Genomic DNA, 3310 nt, shown 5'->3' on the forward strand with positions numbered 1-3310 from the left:
CATATTGTTACATATATCCCTCTAGATCATATGTGGAAAACATTCACTGTATGTTATAAGAAATTAGTGCTTTTTATCAAACATTAGTGACGTGTAGAAATCATGACTTCAGCTATACAAAGTGCATTGTGATCCAGAGGGCTTTTTTTATGATCCCATGTAGAAGAGAGATCATTACATCCATGCTTCTCAAACACATTCTATTGTTTTTAAATAAATGGTTAAGGGATTTGCAACTAAAGAAATTGGGAAACAAACCAAAACTAGAAGACGAGGTGAAGCGCTACAGATAAGAGAAAGAATTTAGCAAGAACAGGTCAGAGGGTAGCTACAAGAATACAAAGAGCCAGTGGGAAGGGAGGCTTAGGGAGCAGAAATTGGGGCAAAGTGTTAAGAAGAGACCACCGTGTTGTACTGGGGTCCAAAAGACAATGTGGAGGCTTTACCCTCAGTGACAAGGTAGTCTAAAGATTTCTCCTGTTTAAACTATAAATATTTCTCTGAAACTTGTACATATCTTCTATGGACAAAGTAGGACTTCCAGAAGCCCTTTTGTGCTAAAGCCTAGAATAACTAAGAGGGTTTTGGCTCATGTAATTCATTTGCATCTTCACAAAATGAATGTGTACTCATTTGAGTCCTTCGAACTTTAAAACAGCCATATTCTTCTTGTTGTTTATATATTTTCCTTAGGCATTTTTTTTCCACGAAATAGACAAGTTTTATCCATATGAAAATTGTCTGATGCAGATAATGCCTCTCTTGATAAGGATCACAGCAAGTCTCTTCCTTAGCATCTAGCATGCACTGCCACACAATTTGATGATGTGCAGAAGGGAAAACTGGCCTGGAGCCTGTGAATCACCCTGGTTTTTCAGGAAAAAAAAATCACCAGAAGTAATTTCATCTCTACCTTCTTAAAGTCTTATCTTCACTTGAGATAACATTAAGTCAATCGGCATTTCACATTGATCCTGATCTTCTTAGCCATAGTGAATATTGTTTAAAATTTCATTTATAACTATTCCCTGTCATTGGCTGTACAGATAACATTTGACATTTTGAATAATTTGTCCTTTGTCCTTCTGAATTATTCCTAAGTCAAATAATTTTTCACTTCTGATGAGCTCATTTTATGTTTTTATCATAATCATAATGCCTCTGCATGAAACTCTCCCAGCTTCTGTATCTGTTGATCATATTGCACTTAATAATGGTCAGCATCTCAAAATGACAGGCAAACATGACAAAATTGTAGTAATCTAGGGAATATAAGATGACAAGAATGAAAATGCTCGTATCTCACTCCTCATGCCCACTGTTAGGGCAGGCAGTGTTGAGTCACTTTTTCTGGACCATACATTAAAAAATGCTGTATACATTAAGCAAAAAATTGTAGATAATGGCTTTCTCTCTATCCCTTCTGCTAGATTGTGAGTCACTCAAAGGCAGCACCCATGTTTAGTGTTTTCAGTATGTCTCATCATAACTGTTACATAATAATAATTCCTAGGATATGTTTTTTTTAAACTCAACGGAACAAGTTGATAAAAAATCTGTTATTTCAAAGAGAAAACATAATTTCCTTAGAACTACATTCCTACATCTGAGACTGAATAGCAGAATCATCTAGGAAAGTTTGCTTAAACTCACATATCTTACCTTTTCCACACTGAATATGTATTATTTAAGAAAGTTTCCAGAAGATACTCTGGAAACTGTGTCTCCATCTTAGAACCACAGCAATAAAAAAAATTGAGATTGCTTTCTTTGTTATTTTTACTATGTTATAAACACAAAGGCAATGAAGAGTTAAATATATATATATATATATATATACGTACTTATATACATACCACACAAACGTATATATTTATACGTAGATTCACATATAAGTTTGTGTGTGTACCTAAATATATATAGATGATATAGATATAGGAGACATAAGTCATGGTGGAACACTTGATCTGGCCTTACATTCAAGATATATAAATGTGAAAGGAAATAATTAAGCAATATTAAAATTTTCAGATATGAGCAAAAATGATTTGACTATAGTAGAAAGAACAAAAAGAAGAAGCAAACATTTTTGAAAGCATTACATGAGTTACTGTGCCAATAATAAAGTATTTGTCTGGTGTTCTTATAAATGTAAACACTTCTATGTGTTGCCAAGCAATATTTTTTAAGTGAATATAAGACAGTTAATTCACTACATTTCTCAAGAAAAGTTTTCTGGTATAAAGACATGTTGTTATATCATTAAAACATTTTAATAATCACAGATTATAACTGAGGCTCAATTTCTATTTTCAGTTTAAATTCTGCAGTCTTAAAGATGGTCTTAAGTACAACAAAAACAAATGAAAGAATTAGGGCTCCCCAAAATATTTTTAGAGTATCAAGAAAAATATAAACCACAGCTCTCAGAAAGGTAAACTGAATAAGAGAATAAGTGATTTATACTCTCCCAGTATCACTCTTTATAAAAAATATGTTAGACAACTATAGTAACATCCTCAACATCAAATAAATGTGGGTATCTGATTAAAATCCCCTCCCTTGTATCAACTCTATTATCAATCTACTGGGGCTTATAACACATTACCCAAAATTTAGCAGCTTAAAAATAATAGACATTTGTTGTCTCACAGTTTTAGCAGATCAGTTTCAGGCATAGTGTAGCTAGATGGCTGTGCCTTACAGTTTCTCATGGGCTGCAGTCACAGCTGAATTTGGTGGAAGGGGGATTAGTGAGGACCCACTTTCAAGCTCACTTACATGATTGTTGAGGGCCTGTGGATTTTTCCACAGGACTCTTCTTGATTTGCATCTGGATTCCCCTAAGCTATAAGTGATTCAAGAGAGAATGAAAAAACCTAAGCGCCCCAAAGAGGAAAGCTGCAATCTTTTATAACCCAATCTAGGAGGTGACATCTCATCACTTCTTCCGTACTCTATTTACTGAAAGGGAGTCACTAAGTCAAGACCACACTAATTGCCTGGGGATTACCCAGAGCATTATAGACGGTGAAACATTAGGTGTCATCTCAGAGTCTGTCTACTACATCAGTCTTAAAAAGAACATTGCAAGTAATTTTTTTATTATCACTAATGCACAACTCTGACGATTCCAGCAATTAAACTAGATAGGGCTGTAAAAAGAATAATCAAAATCTCCATCAAAGATGCTGCAAATTAGGTCCATAATTTGCATAATCTCTCACCATTTGGCAAGTTTCTAATGCTGTCCCAGAAACTTAATGTTGTCCCTTCATTGCCTCCTCAAAATTCCATTGAGAAAGAACAT

Source organism: Homo sapiens, chromosome 6 (assembly GCF_000001405.40).
Source record: "Homo sapiens chromosome 6, GRCh38.p14 Primary Assembly".
In the NCBI taxonomy this organism is placed as follows: Eukaryota; Metazoa; Chordata; class Mammalia; order Primates; family Hominidae; genus Homo; species Homo sapiens.